General features: G+C 50.4%; 1 long non-coding RNA gene across 10 annotated transcripts in view, besides 2 other annotated features; it reads left to right on the top strand.

The window, feature by feature from the left end:
- Positions 1-15078, top strand: part of LALTOP (lung cancer associated lncRNA targeting TOP2A) — a 140518-nt gene that overhangs the window by 2292 nt on the left and 123148 nt on the right. For 2 of the 10 annotated variants that reach the window (NR_198948.1, NR_198949.1), the window contains exons 2-4: positions 1149-3411; positions 4088-4538; positions 5844-5961. This is a non-coding gene — a long non-coding RNA (lung cancer associated lncRNA targeting TOP2A). Of the gene's footprint in view, positions 1-1148; positions 3412-4087; positions 7749-12607; positions 12710-15078 lie in introns of those variants that run through there. The other 8 variants (NR_198950.1, NR_198945.1, NR_198951.1 and 5 more) reach the window with 6 other exon arrangements.
- Positions 1386-1965: an enhancer, noted in NCBI's record as "H3K27ac hESC enhancer chr2:1624935-1625514 (GRCh37/hg19 assembly coordinates)". NCBI's record gives its function as "activates a minimal SCP1, AML or CMV promoter by ChIP-STARR-seq in naive H9 embryonic stem cells {active_cell/tissue: H9 hESC(naive)}" and the evidence as "EXISTENCE:reporter gene assay evidence [ECO:0000049][PMID:30033119]".
- Positions 7484-8203: an enhancer, noted in NCBI's record as "H3K27ac-H3K4me1 hESC enhancer chr2:1618697-1619416 (GRCh37/hg19 assembly coordinates)". NCBI's record gives its function as "activates a minimal SCP1, AML or CMV promoter by ChIP-STARR-seq in primed H9 embryonic stem cells {active_cell/tissue: H9 hESC(primed)}" and the evidence as "EXISTENCE:reporter gene assay evidence [ECO:0000049][PMID:30033119]".

The raw sequence follows: 15078 nt of genomic DNA, 5'->3' as shown, positions 1-15078 counted from the left end.
TCGTGTCCCAGGTGGAAGGGCCTCAGGGCTCCAGGGGAGTCTCCACAGCTAAGCAGGGTCCAATAGCCTCAAAGAAGGTGACCATTTTTTTCTGAGTGGCCTGGGGAAGCCCCTGGCAGGGCTGAAGAGGGGGCGCATCTGAATGGAGCACTCAACAGGCAGCCTTTGTCACATCAAGGTTGGGGTTCCCCTAGAGCTGCAGGGGAAGAGGGCACCGTCCTTTCCACTCCCTGATGTGGAGGAGGAGTCCAAGAGGAGTTCTGGGGCAAGCAGTGTGTCCTGTGAGCATAAAGGTGTCAGATGAAACGCCAGCAGGAGACAGGAGAGAAGGGGACTCCGCAGGCAAGGGAGAGCTGCGGGTCAGCTACAGGGGAGTTGGTCTCAAGGCCACTGATAGGAATGGCAGCAGCTCCACTAGCCCAGACTTCACTGTGATGAATCCCCCTCCTCCAGACCCATGACCTCCATTGGCCGGAAAACTCTCACCGTAAATATACAAACATACTACGGCTGCCACGTGGATCCAGCTCCCAAAGCTGCACGACATGCAACCTGCCCAGTTGCAAGTCATCATATGGGGGCCTAAACTTTGTGCATTAGCCTTGCTTCTGTGGGGCGTTTGTGCATTTGGCATCATCCACACCCACCCAACCCCTGGTTAGGGCGTGCCTTGCTGGTACACTGGGGCTTCTGCCACCTCCCTCCCTGGCTCACTATGTCCCGAGATCCCAGAGCAGCCTCATTCACTGACCTGAGATGCCTGAAGTAGTGCCAGCATTATATTGTTCCTCTGAGGGAGACGACACAGTCAGCCATTGCATTGTTCCTCTGAGGGAGACGACACAGTCAGCCATTGCATTTTTCCTCTCAGGGAGATGATACAGTCAGCCATTGCATTGTTCCTCTGAGAGAGACACAGCCAGCCATTGCATTGTTCCTTTCAGGGAGACGGCACAGTCAGCCATTGCATTGTTCCTCTGAGGCAGATGGCACAGTCAGCCATTGCATTGTTCCTCTGAGGGAGATGACACAGTCAGCCATTGCATTGTTCCTCTGAGGGAGATGACACAGTCAGCCATTGCATTGTTCCTCTGAGGGAGATGATACAGTCATTTGGTCAAAGCCATTGCATGTGTTTGTTTTCTTAGGGCACTTTCTGGAGAGAAGATTTCGATGGGGAAAGATAAGAGAGCATTTGGATATCTACGCACTGTCAACAGAAATGAGGCTTCAGGCCAAGGCTTCTAAAATGCAGGATTCCCAAAGTGGCAGTCACATAAGACGGGTCCCTCCATCGCCTTCTAGAATATTGAGAAGATCATCACGCCTGGGACTGGCTCACAGCACTGATCTTTTTCTTGTTAGCAGAGACTCCAGGAAGCAGATGAGCAGACCTATGGGCCTGCTATGTGCACCGCGGCCCACACTGCCGCCTGCCTGGGATCCTGCATCACCCGAGTCTTCCTGCGGACCACCCTGGGTGGTGCACATGCGGTCATCATTGTGCAAAGGAAGCTTTAGTTCTATAATGAAAGCCCCTTTAGTAAGTGATGCTCCTTGAAGACTCGGTCAGCGTCTCGTTCACCTCTTTATCCCCAGACTTAGCACAATTCCAGCCCCAAATCGGCAACGGACCTTTGACCAAGTGACATGTCAGTGCTTCAGGGAGCTTCACTGATCAGGACAGAAGTGAGTGACTGGAGGAAGGTGACCCGGATGTCTGTAACCCCCAGAAAGGGTGAGATGGCTGTTTTATCAGCCAGCATTGCCGAGTTGGTGGTGTGACGACATCCTGTCTGACTGCTGGGCCTTACCGGTGTGTTCTCTGCTGGAGCCGTGACAGTTTGAGTTGAGGACATTTTACATCAATCACTGAACTGCACGAAAGATGGAAATCCAGCAAGGGACCCCGTCGGACCTGATTGACCGCAGAGCTACCTTTTGCTCTTTCTGGATGCCACACGGCCTCCTCCTCCCACCTGTCCTTGGAGCTTGTGTTGGTCCACTTTCATGCTGCTGATAAAGCCATACCTGAGACTGGGTAATTTATAAAGAAAAAGAGGTTGAATGGACTCACAGTTCCACGTGGCTGGGGAGGCCTCACAATCACGGCGGAAGTTGAAAGGCACGTCTTACATGGCGGCAGGCAAGAGAGAATGAGAGCCAAGCAAAGGGGGTTTCCCCTTATAGAACCATCAGATCAGCTGGGCGCAGTGGCTCACTCCTGTAATCCCAGCACTTTGGGATGCTGAGGTGGGAGGATCACAAGGTCAGGAGTTTGAGACCAGCCTGACCAATATGGTGAAACCCCATCTCTACTAAAAATACAAAAATTATCTGGGCATGGTGGTGGGCACCTGTAGTCCCAGCTACTCGGGAGGCTGAGGCAGGAGAATCGCTTGAACCTGGGAGGCGGAGGTTGCAGTGAGCTGAGATTGTGCCACTGCACTCTAGCCTGGGCAACAAAGCGAGACGCTGTCTCAAAAAAACAAAAACAAAAACAAAAAAAACCATCAGATCTCATGAGACTTATTCACTACCATGAGAACAGTATGGGGGAAACCACCCTCATGATTCAATTATCTCTTGCTGGGTCCCTCCCTCAACACATGGGAATTACGGGAGCTACAATTCAAGATGAGATTTGGGTGGGGACACAGCCAAACCGTATCAGAGCTGTGCTCCCAAGCACCCAAGGACTGCCGAGTTCTCAGGCTGGCAGCTCCAGCTGATGGCACGTCACTGGGGGGTGAGGGGTTGAGGACCTGAGCTGCCCCCAGGCTCTGCAATGGAAAGCATCAGGCTGGACTTGGACATTCTGGGTGGGAAGTGTCTGGAACCTGGACGCTGGCTTGGAGAGGAGCCTCAGGAGGAATCGCCAGGATTCTCAGCTGTCGAGAATGTCACCCGCTGCTGTACTCCCAACAGCAAGGGAGGCACCTGGCACGTCGTGAGCAACTCTCGTGTATTTGTTGCATGATCTAGTCCAAGAATGGCCAATGAGTTTCACCTGCCAGTTTTCACAGGCCTGTGTGCCGAGAGTGTTCCTTACCATTTTTTCATTATTATTCTGCTAAGGAGGATTTTTAGACATTATGTTCCTAGTCAAGCCCTCACCTCTGCAATGAAATTATAATACCACTGTTGACCCAAAGATGAGCAGCAAGCGCTAGAACTGAGGGAAATCATGGTGAGATTTATTCTGAGCCAAGCTGGAGGACTTAGGCCCAGGAACACAGAATCTGTGTCCACTGAGAATGTATCTCAAAGCAGGCTCCATGAGGCACCGTGCACTTACATTTTCTAACAGGCGGACGTATGTGGCCCAGAAGGTGGGAGAGGCAAGCGGTGAGCAGCCGTGACGTTCCTGAGATTCTGATGAGCGCTCGGTGGCACTGCCCACATGATAAGGTAAGTATGCAGCTGAGTGGGTGCTGGAGGGAGACTGGTTCCCTCCTGTATGCGGTTGAGTGGGGGCTGGAGGGAGACTGGTTCCCTCCTGTATGCGGCTGAGTGGGGGCTGGAGGGAGACTGGTTCCCTCCTGTATGTGGCTGAGTGGGGGCTGGAGGGAGACTGGTTCCCTCCTGTATGTGGCTGAGTGGGGGCTGGAGGGAGACTGGTTCCCTCCTGTATGCGGCTGAGCGGGGGCTGGAGGGAGACTGGTTCCCTCCTGTATGCGGCTGAGCGGGGGCTGGAGGGAGACTGGTTCCCTCCTGTATGCGGCTGAGCGGGTGCTGGAGGGAGACTGGTTCCCTCCTGTATGCGGTTGAGTGGGGGCTGGAGGGAGACTGGTTCCCTCCTGTATGCGGCTGAGTGGGTGCTGGAGGGAGACTGGTTCCCTCCTGTATGCGGTTGAGTGGGGGCTGGAGGGAGACTGGTTCCCTCCTGTCTTTATTCTGCAGGTTTATGATAAACAGGTTTATGACCAGTACCTGCCAGTGAAATATTTAACAAACCCCAGTTACATGGGCAAGAGGCCAGTTTTAGGTTAGAGGCCTTGGTTTTATTAGCTGTGGGTCCCAATGCAGCCATTAGAGGCTACTATCAAGATCTTCTTTTCAATGTTCCTTTTCTGACCCCACACAGGAACTATAAACCTGTTCATGTGTTGACCCTCCCAAGAATCACAAATATTGCAATGGCCAAGAATTTTTGGCCACCACGAACTGTTGCCCCCTTGGGAGAGACTCTGCCGGACTAAGGATGCCTGGCCTGGGTGTAGGGCTGCTTTGGGTGTGAGGACAGGAGTGACCCGCAGCCCCGTGAGCAGCCACCACCCGTGAGAAGCCCAGGCTGCCAGCAGCAGGGGGCCTTGTGTCTCTGCCCCTAGGTGGGTGCAGACGAGGGCCAGGGTCTCCACCCGCCAGCCTGGTGCTCACTGCACAGCAAGAAGGTTTCCCAGTGGGAACAGACTGAACCAGGCCCTGGTCCTCCAAGGACACAGAAGTCAGGGACGGAACTGAACCGTGACCAATCGATGGATCTGTCGTCGTTGATCTCAGGCTGCCTTCTTATCAGAAGTTCAAAGTTCTTCAAAGTGAGGAAGATCAACTGGAGGATTTCAACTGTTCTTTTTTTTTTTTTTCTCAAACCTAACTGTTGAGTTCAGGGTTTCCAGCCGTCTCTGTGCCCAAGTGGGGCCGTTTCTGACGGCAGCATCACTGGTGCACAGCAGTGGGTGACAGGGACCTGGGCCGCATTGCGCCCACACCGTGCAGGATTACAGAGGTGCTGGGAGCTAGGGAGACAGCAGTGACCCTCCTACAGCAGTGATCTTGTTCCCAGTCACAGGGCATGTCCCAGTCACAGGGCACGTCCCAGTCACAGGGCATGCAGTGATTCCTTGTGTGCTCAGCGAAGGCAGATCCAGGCTCCCAAATAACCAAGGGGGAGGAGAGGATGGCGGCAGCAAGGCCCATGCTCCTGAGTGCCATCTCGGGACATTCTGACTCTGGTTTTGGGAGGGACTCCAGCATATGCATTTGAAGCAACCTCCCCAGGTGATTCTGAGGCCCGGGTAGTTTGGGGGATCCCAGATCAGCCAGCAGCACCCCAGGTTCAGCAAGGATGCTGGGTTTCTGCTTGGCAGCTTCCTAACCTGCAACAGGACAGGTGCTTCCACCCTACTCCGGTCTGCAGGGAGCCCTAAGAAACTGGTCTCAGCCAGGATCCCAGGAGAGACAAAAGCGCCCTGGGGCTGCGTGGCTGGAGGACAGTGTCAGGACAATCCACAGAGCAGGAAGTAGGGAACCCAGCCGAGGGCTGGTGCACTCTCTGGGTCAACAACAGGTGGCTGTGGGGCCTGAAGGGGCAGGGGAAGAAGACACCTGGGGAGACGGTGCCTGGGGAGCATCTCTGCAGTGACCCCGCCCCAGGGCGGCACAGGGGCCAACTCCAGCCAGCTCCAGTGACTCCTCTAGAAGGAGTCTGGGCCAGTGAGAGCTCTCACTACTCTCCATGCTCCAGTCTCTAGGGCTGCCTTTCGGGCCACACCTGATTGCGGCCAGGGCAGAGGGAAAGTGTGGGGTGGAGCCACCCTGCAGGAAGGCACACCATCCGTTCTGTGCAGCCAACCACTCTGGCTGAGGACCCCTCTCTAACCTGTCTCCCCAGCCTGAATTATTGAAGTTACTGAAAGATGACCGTTTTGAAATCATCTGCTAATCTTGTCTATTGTTCCCTTCTTTGTGTTGTGAACCTGGAAAATTTGAGCCAGGCCTCAGTTAATTTAGAAAATTTATTTTGCCAATGTTGGGGACGCGCACCTGTGACACAGCCTCGGGAGGTCCTGATGACAGGTGTCCAAGGTGGTGAGAGCACCGTTTGGTTTTATACATTCTAGGGAGACATGAGACATCAATCAACACATGTAGGATGAACATTGGTTCGGTCTGGAAAGGCGGGACAACTCGAAGCAAAGGCAGGAAGACTCGAAGCAGACGGGGGCTTCCAGGTCATAGGTAGGTAAGAGACAAATGGTTGCCTCCTTTTGAGTTTCTGATGAGCCTCTCCAAAGGAGGCAATCAGATGTGCATTTATCTCAGTGAGCAGAGGAGTGACTTTGAATAGAACGGGAGGCAGGTTGGTCCTAAGCAGTTCTCAGCTTGGCTTCTCCCTTCTCCCTTTAGCTAAGTGATTTGGGGGTCCCTGGATCTATTTTCCTTTCACCGTGTCTGTGAGTGTCCAGCGTTGACTCCCACTTATAAGTGAGAACATGTGGTATTTGATTTTCTGTTCCTATGTTAATTTACTTACTACAATGGCTTGCAGCTCCATCCATGTTGCTGCAAAGGACATAATTTTGTTTTGTTTTATGGCTGCATAGTATTCCATGGTGTGTATGTACCATATTTTGTTTATCTAATCCACCAGTGATGGGCACCTGGGTTGATCCACATCTTTGCCGTTGTGAACTGTGCTGCAGAACATATGGGTGCATGTGTCCTCTTGGTAGAATGATTTGTTTTCCTCTGGGCATATACCCAGGAATGGGATTGCTGGGTTGAATGGTAGTTCAACTCAGAGTTCTCTGAGAAATCTCCAAACTGCTTCCCACAGTGGCTGGACTAATTTCCATTCCCAACAACAGTGTATAAGTGTGTCCTTTTCTCTGCATCCTCACCAACATCTGCTACTTTTTGACTTTTTGGTAAAAGCCATTCTGACTGCTGTGAAATGGTGTCTGCCTACGGTTTTGATTTCCATTTCTGCGATGATTAGTGATGCTGAGCATTTTTTCATATATGTGTTGGCTGCTTGTATTTCTTCTTCTGAGAAGCGTCCATTCATGTCCTTTGCCCACTTTTTAATGGGGGTTATTTGTCTTTTGCTTGTGGATTTAAGCTCCTTATAGATACTGGATATTAGACCTCTGTTGGATGCATAGTTTGTGAGTATCTTCTCCCATTCTGCAGGTTGTCTGTTTACTCTGTTGATAGTTTTTCTAGCTGTATAGAAGCTCTTTAGCTTCATTAGGTCTCATCTGTCAATTTTGTTTTTGTAGGAATTGCTTTTGAGGACTTAGCCATAAGTCTTTTGCCAAGACTCATATAGAGAAGAGCATTTCCTAGGTTTTCTTCTAGGATTTTTATAGTTTGAGGCCTTACGCTGAAGTCTTTGAAATCCATCTTGAGTTGATTTTTGAATATGGTGAAAGGGAAGGATCCAGTTTCAATCTTCTGCGTATGGCTGGCCAGTTATTCCAGCACTATTTATTGAATTAAGGGCCTTTTCTCCATTTGTTGTTTTTGTCAGCTTTGTTGAAGATGGGATGCGTGGCTTTATTTGTGGGTTATCTTTTGTGTTTCATTGGTCTATGTGTCTTTTTTCTACCTATACCATGCAGTTTTGGTTGCTGTGGTTTTGTAGTACAGTGTGAAGTTCGGTAATGTGAGGTCTCTGGCTTTCTTCTTTTTGCTTAAGATTGCTTTGGCTATTCGGGCTCTTTTTTGGTTCCATGTGAATTTTAGAATAGCTTTTTCTAATTCTGTGAAAATAATGTCATTGGTAGTTTGAGAGGAATTGCACTTAATCTATAAATTGCTTTGGACAGTATGGCCATTTCAATGATATTGATTCTTCCAATCCATGAGCATGGGATGTTTTTCCATTTTTTGGTATCATCTTTGATTTCTTTCAGCAGTGTTTTGTAGTTTTCCTTGCAGAGATCGTTCACCTCCCTGGTTATCTGTGTTCCTAGGTATTTTACTGTTTTTGTAGCTATTAAAAATGGGATTGTAAATGCAAATTTCTTCATGCCTACTCCTGTCCTATCAAGGGGGGATTACTGGGGCTGGGGCCCAGCAATGTGTGTTTCAGTAGAGCCCTTTAGGTGATGTAAAAGTTTGAAGAACATTGATGATGAGAGAAGGGGGGGGAGGGGCAGCACAGGCTTCCATAACTGTGCGGAGGGAGACCCCACTGTCTATCTCCTGCTCCAGACCCCAGCACTCTGCACCCTGGCCCCTTCCCTGAAGGGCCCTCCCCCACCCCACCTTGCCCTCCCCTCGGAGGCTCCTCCTGGAGCACTTGCTCCCCTCACCTCTCCCAGCAACCTGGGTTCACACCCCTCCTTGGCCCACTCCTCTCTCAGGCCAGGCCATTCCAGAACGAAGGATTTTGGAAGTAGAGCCCCACTCCCTCCCCTTCCAAATTTGTTATTCCACAATAAAGATGTGCCACTTAGAGAGTGGAACTGACTTGCTCAAGGTCACAGAACCAAACAACTCAGCCCTGGAGGAAAACCCAGGTTGATTTGCATGTGGGGCCATTCATGTGTGAGCGGATTTCCTGAACTTGATGGCAGTTCATAATGGCAGCGAGCCTGACTCGCCCCGTCTCTTTTTCTCTTGCTCTCTCCATCCTCTCCCCTACCCTACCAACACATCCCCTTTCCGCCCTCAGCGGGGGCAACAATAATCGCAGCTGAGACGCATGGTTAAATCCAGATTGAAGTAATTTGTTATATTGTGAGAACATTCACATTGCATTTCAATCAATGTCACACTTAATTGAGGAGTAGAAGGCTTCGCATTCTTTGTTTGTTTACGATTCCTTCAAGAGTAATTAACATAATAATTAAGATATTTATATTCTTGTTAAATTTCAAAAACAAATTCTTCTTTTATTAAAGATGAGATAAATTCAATAGCCTTAATACTAAAGGCCTATGCCTCTTGTAAAAGACTCATGGAAGTTGACATTTTAGAACATATCCAGAGGGAAAATGCGGTTTTTAAAACTTATAATTGTTCCCATAGACAAAGCCAAAATTCCTTTTGGCAACTTGTATTTGAAGCGAGCCATTGTGTGTGCATGGCTGCATGGGCTGTGGGTCCCGCCTTTCTGTCCCAGGAACCCAGAGCCCCGGCTTGGGCACAAGGTCCCCACACCCGCAGTGGGAGAAGGCTAGGCAGTGACTCCACCCAGTGTGCTAGCTCTCCTTGGAAGTTTCCAGCCAACAATTTTAAAACTCGGTCAGAACTTGGTTTTCATTGTTCACTTCTGAATTACCAAAACATCTCCTGGGAGTTCATGATCCACTAAGATTTTGTGTAGGGATTGTTCTGTTCATTTGGTGATATTGGCTCACAGGCATGAGTAATCACTGAACTCTGTCTGTCTGTCTCTCTCCCTCTCTCTTTTTGTCTTTCTCTCTTATAAGAGCAGATGACTTAGGGAGGCCAGCTGTCCCTCCCTCTCCCAGCAGGAGGTGTGGGTGCGGTTTTGCTAACTTGAGGCTGAGTATAGGAAAGTGGGAAGGGTAGGTTCAGGGCCAGTGCTTCTGGATCTGGGCCCAGCTCCCTCCACCCCATGACTGTCTCAGGCCCGCAGGGTCTCTGCCCTATTGAGAGATGAGGATGGGGAAGCCCTGGGCCTCACAAACAGTGTGGGGAGGGCTAAAGTCACCATGTGAAATGTGAAGGCATTTCTATAACCAAAGCGCTGTCTTCCAGGAGGGAGTCCTCAAGGAGCCGCAGCTCTGGCCCCGTGAGAGGGAATGCTCTCGGAGTGACCCACGTTTCCCTTACTGCAAAAAGGCACCTGCAATCAGATAATAGATTTTTTGTTTTAGGTTTTCTTTTCTCTGATTGTGGATTACAATATAGATAGTTTTTAATTCTGGTAAGCACAGGTTAGAAAATTTCATCTCAAGCAATGATCATTGTTGCTGTTTTGAATCTTTTTTTAATAGATAAATGGACCCCATAGCTCCTTGTTGCATTTCTTTGTTGGTAATTTTCCCCCAAGCTCTCAGGTAACTTGGTTGTTGCCTCCCAAGTGAATGGGCTGTGGTGTGTTCCATGCCTGTGACACCTCAGAAGGACACAGAGCAGGAGGAGACGAGGTCGGGTACGCTGCCGTGGGCAGCCTTGTGGACACATCATAAAAGAAACGCTCTGACCGGCGTGGACGAAGCTCTGCTGGTGTGGGAGTGGTGTCTTTTTCTGCATGGAAACTACAAGAATAACTACGTCTCTTTCTGCACATCACCCAATTAGATCACCCACAGAAATGATACCCTGAGTGGGGGATTTGGCCAGCCTCTTTAAACATGGGAGGAAGCCCTAAACCAGAATTCCTTGAGGATGAAAACAATCTTTTTGTCCTTTGGAAGGGGCTCTGGCCTCCAAGACTTTTGTAAAACGGAGGCTGTTCACTCCTTGTCCTCCTCAGTCTCCTTGTGTCCTCCCACCCCAGTCAGGGCCCAGCACCTTGCCTGGGTTCCACCCTGAAACCACCCCTTCCAATCTCCTCCCCTCATCACCGCCTCTCCTGAGCCTCTTTCCTCAGTGGTCTGCTCTGAGATGCCCGTAGGAAGGAGACTGGTAACTGGATACTCAGCACATACTTACTGAACATTGATTCTTTGTCAAATGTTGATGAAAAAGGTTATCCTGAAACTTGTTTAAAAATAGGAAGGCAGGCTATATTCACGGGACTGTGAGGGGCACTGGGATAGGTGCAGGGACCATGACAATGGGGTTTGCAGTGGGGAGAGATCAGGGTCAACTCCAAATACAACAAGGACATGGGGGGTTTTACAGCCAGGAGCAGAGGGTGGTCAGTGGGTGGAAAATTGGGAGAGGAAGTATCAGGGTAAGCCACTGAACAGGGTCCCACAGAAGCCAGGCCAGGACAACGGGAGGATGAGGAACTGGTCGGATATCAAGGATAACCAGGCAGCAAGGGCATGGGGTTCCACTTAAAATGATTTAGTGGGATTTTTGATAAAGTTGGACACTGCATAAAAGAACACAAAAGCCCCCAAATCAGGACCCTGTTGAGAGAAGAGTTCAGAGGAGCCCGACTAGAATTACTCAAGGAGAGGATCTGTGTCACAGCCTTGCACTGGAGGTATTAATGGTGGGAAAGATGAAGCTCAAGACCATGCAATGCAGTGAGAAGCATGGAGAAGACTGAGCCCGTGGGCCACAGTGAGGGGCGAGCGGGGGCGTTGGTGCAGAGGAAGGTGGGGAGGGTGAGGATGGCCTTTAGAGGAGGAGAAGTGGGAAGGGAGAGGAATGCTGGGCCGCAGATCTGTGGGGAATGGGTGAGGAGGTGTTGGAGCACTAGGAACCCTCAGCCACCACCTGAGAGAGCAGCCAGTCAGGGGAGACTGGGCCACAGGCGAGGTGCTGGTTCTATTTTATCCCAAGGACAAGCGGCAAGTCACCTTGGGCACAGCATGCCACCATGCTTTGCTTTCTGAAAAGCCATCTTCCCGAGTCACTCCTGGCCTCATCCTTCCTCCTCCCCAGGAACAGGAGGCAGCTGGGGACCCTTCTCGTTCGGTGGGCTCCTGGCCTCATCTTTCTTCCTTCCCAGTAACAGGAGGCAGCTGGGGACCCTGCTCATTCGATGGGATCCTGGCCTCATGCTTCCTCCTCCCCAGTAACAGGAGGCAGCTGGGGACCCTGCTCGTTCGATGGGCTCCTGGCCTCATCCTACCTCCTCTCCAGTAACAGGAGGCAGCTGGGCACCCTTCTCATTCGGTGGGCTCCTGGCCTCATCTTTCTTCCTTCCCAGTAACAGGAGGCAGCTGGGGACCCTGCTCATTCGATGGGATCCTGGCCTCATGCTTCCTCCTCCCCAGTAACAGGAGGCAGCTGGGGACCCTGCTCGTTCGATGGGCTCCTGGCCTCATCCTACCTCCTCTCCAGTAACAGGAGGCCGCTGGGGCACCCTGCTCATTCGATGGGCTCCTGGCCTCATCCTTCCTCCTCCCCAGGAACAGGAGGCAGCTGGGACACCCTGCTCATTCGATGGGCTCCTGGCCTCATCCTTCCTCATCCCCAGTAACAGGAGGCAGCTGGGGCATCCTGCTCATTCGGTGGGCTCTGGGCCTCATCCTTCCCCCTCCCCAGTAACAGGAGGCAGCTGGGGACCCTGCTCGTTCGATGGGCTCCTGGCCTCATCCTATCTCCTCTCCAGTAACAGGAGGCAGCTGGGGACCCTTCTCATTCGGTGGGCTCCTGGCCTCATCTTTCTTCCTTCCCAGTAACAGGAGGCAGCTGGGGACCCTGCTCGTTCGATGGGATCCTGGCCTCATGCTTCCTCCTCCCCAGTAACAGGAGGCAGCTGGGGACCCTGCTCGTTCGATGGGCTCCTGGCCTCATCCTACCTCCTCTCCAGTAACAGGAGGCAGCTGGGGCACCCTGCTCATTCGATGGGCTCCTGGCCTCATCCTTCCTCATCCCCAGTAACAGGAGGCAGCTGGGGCATCCTGCTCATTCGGTGGGCTCTGGGCCTCATCCTTCCCCCTCCCCAGTAACAGGAGGCAGCTGGGGACCCTGCTCATTCGGTGGGGTTCATCAGAGAAGAGTTCCATCTCTGTTTCTCCTCTCTGGATGGTAGGAGGCAAATATCATGAATACAGGTCACCTCTGTGGACCCAAGCTGCCCTTCAGGTGGACTGTCCCAGGATCTAGACTGAGGGACGCAGGGTGGAGGAAGGGAATTCTAACACACTCACCAGGCAACCAGGAAGAAGCCATTTTCTTCGCTATCAATTGTCGGTAATAATATTACATTTCGATCTTCATTCGTGTGACTTCTGAGCTTCTGCCTCGATGGGTTTTGAACTCAGGCTTTAACTTCCCCCAGTGTTGAGGAACAGCCACATATCTCAAGGAGCAGAATCTGGGGGCCAGAACGACGCGTGCACAGACCTTTGGCTGAGTGAAGAAGCGTGACTTGAAGCCTCAGGTAGGACCATGCGGGGTTTGGATCTCGGTGGACAACTGCGGTTGTGATGCTCAGTGGCGGCTGCACTGCAGGGGCCAGCGGGTGTCCAGCTGTGGCGGCTCGGCTGTGGCGGGCTGTACTGCAGGGGCCAGCGGGTGTCCAGCTGTGGTGGCTCGGCTGTGACAGGCTGCACTGCAGGGGCCGGCGGGTGTCCAGCTGTGGCGGCTCAGCTGTGACAGGCTGCACTGCAGGGGCCAGTGGGTGTCCAGTTGTGATGGCTCAGCTATGGCGGGCTGCATTATATGGGGCCAGTGGGTGTCCAGTTGTGGTGGCTCAGCTGTGGCAGGCTGCATTATAGGGGCCAGCAGGTGTCCAGTTGTGATGGCCCAGCTGTGGCAGGCTGCATTATATGGGGCCAGTGGGTGTCCAGTTGTGGTGGCCCAGCTGTGGCGGGCTGCACTGGAGGGGCCAGCGGATGTCCTGTGCTTTGGGGACAGGGTGGCTGTAGCAGATGGGCGTGGTCTGGAGCATCAGTAAATAAGGCACTCCGGCGAGCCTCAGCAGGCACAGCTGAGCAACGTTAGGAAAGAACCACTTCCTCCGTCTCTCTGACATTCACAGGTTACAAAAAAAATAGCTACTTTTACTGTGTTTCTTAGCCAGTAAGCATATAATTTAAAATTCAAAGAAAGCAGGTTTCCATCTGTTCCACATTTCGCGTTAAAACTGAAAGCACAATTACATTTAGTGGAGGTATGATTTGAGTGACTGGATTTCTCTCTAGAAACCGGCACATGAAGGTGCAGCTTGAAAGTGTTAGGAGACTGTCAACAACAACAACAAAATCCATCTGACGAAGGCAAAATACATTTAGTTCCAGATGACCTTAGCAAAATACAGAGAATTTGTCACTAACAGACCCGGCCTAGTGAAAGTCTTCATATGGAACTTGTTCAGCATGAGTGAAAAGAGTGCCAGGGCAAACTTGGATATTTAGGAATGAGGAAAGAGAAGTGGAAACAGTAAATATCAGAACAAATATAAAAGACTACTTCTTTTTCTCTTAGTTATTTAAAATTTGTGAGCGTGGAAAGGAACATTCATACTGTTTGGCGTGGTTTTCAATATACACAGATGTAAAACACCTGACATCCATGACAGGAAGGTCACTGAGGAGGACTGTGGAGCTGCAGGTTTTCCACACTCTACAGGAAGTGGTGTCCGATTAATTCCAAGCCAACTGTGAAAGATGACATGTGTCTATTGCAATAATTAGAGCAGCTGTTAAAAGAATGATTCAAAGAGATACAGCAAAATGCAATATAAATTTAGATGGGATACTAAAAAGATTTAATCTGAAAGACAGAGGAACAAAAGCAGAACAGACACACAGAAAAAAATGGTAATTTTAAACCAAATTGTATCCACGATGACATTATATTAATTAATAATTACACATTGTATATTAAAAATAATTTAAAAGGAGACTGAGCGAATAAAAACAACCCCAGTATTGTTTTCAAGAGTCATGCTTTAAAATTAAAGATACACATAGGTAGAAGTTCAATAGATGGCAAAAATCATACCATGGAAACATTGAGCACAGAAGACTGGATGGCTATGTTAATACCAGATAAAACAGACTGAATACAAATAATATTACCAGAGACAAAGAAGGACATTTCATAGTAATAAAAGGAAAAATTATCAGGAAGGCATAAGTTACCAGTGTGTAATTATGATTACATGAATTAAAGGGAGAAATAGACTTTTTCACAAAGCAGAAGACTTTAATACTCCTCTCTCGGCAATTGATAAAATAACTAGAAAAAAAATTAAGACCTAGATGATCTTCAAGTACTGCCAATTCCCGTGATCCAATCAGCATCCATGTGACACTGCACCCAACAACTGCACATGTGGTTTTCCAGGGCACATGGGGCATTCGCCCAGGGGATGGGTGTCATCCTGCGGAAGGAGAGGAAGGGCAGTTGTGAGGCTGGAAGCTGTGGCAGGTGCATTTGCAAGTGCTTTCTACGAAGGCAATGGTGAGAAGATGATGAGTGCCCTTTACCTGGACTGGGAATCTTTATTCCGAGTTGAGATGGAACTGGATCTGTGTTCAGAGCAGAGTTGGCCTGAACTTGTCTCTGAGAAGTGGTTCAAGGCAGGGCTGCTTTTGCATCTGTGTTACTAATCATCCCCTCTCCATTATCGGACATAAACTAGGGAAGGATAAGAATCATTCAATGAGTCAAACTCTTGACTCACCTTCCCCAGCTGAAAAGCACCACCGTGCAGAAGTGGTGTCTCCAAGGGTGGAGGCAGGGAGGGAGAATGTTTCCTGTTAAAATTCCCCAGAAGTACTTTTTCGTGCCCATGGGCTTGGG

This window comes from Homo sapiens, chromosome 2 (genome assembly GCF_000001405.40).
Source record: "Homo sapiens chromosome 2, GRCh38.p14 Primary Assembly".
In the NCBI taxonomy this organism is placed as follows: domain Eukaryota; kingdom Metazoa; phylum Chordata; class Mammalia; order Primates; family Hominidae; genus Homo; species Homo sapiens.
Note: the sequence above shows the minus strand (reverse complement) of the source record. Positions and strands in the feature narration are given on the sequence as shown.